Here is a 345-nt window from a genome sequence, read left to right as displayed (position 1 = left end):
ATGACAAATTTTTTCGGCCCAGAGTAAAAATTATTCCCTAAGAATTGCCAAAAATCCTATTTTTTCTATTGAGTTGTATCATAGATACAGAAGAGCATATGAAACATTAATGGAGAGTTTAAAGAATAATTATGATGTAACACCCTTCTAACTAGCACTTGAGTCAGAAATAGAATATTGTCAAAGTGGCCACTAACCCTGCACTAGGGCACCCAGATAAGGAGCAAGTAGGGGCTGAAATATACCAAGCTTCTACCCAGAACTGTTGGGTGAAATATGCACCCACCACCACCCCCCGTCCCGACTCTAAAAGGACAAGCTGGGGTATTCTGAGCTCCTTCCTCC

The 345-nt window shown here is 41.2% G+C and overlaps 1 annotated feature.

The window, feature by feature from the left end:
- Positions 296 to 345: a silencer, noted in NCBI's record as "silent region_775". NCBI's record gives its function as "represses an Ori minimal core promoter by ATAC-STARR-seq in GM12878 lymphoblastoid cells {active_cell/tissue: GM12878}" and the evidence as "EXISTENCE:reporter gene assay evidence [ECO:0000049][PMID:35858748]".

This window comes from Homo sapiens, chromosome 1 (assembly GCF_000001405.40).
Source record: "Homo sapiens chromosome 1, GRCh38.p14 Primary Assembly".
Classification (NCBI taxonomy): Eukaryota; Metazoa; Chordata; class Mammalia; order Primates; family Hominidae; genus Homo; species Homo sapiens.
The sequence above is the reverse complement of the archived record's forward strand: the minus strand, read 5'-3'. Positions and strand labels throughout refer to the sequence as shown.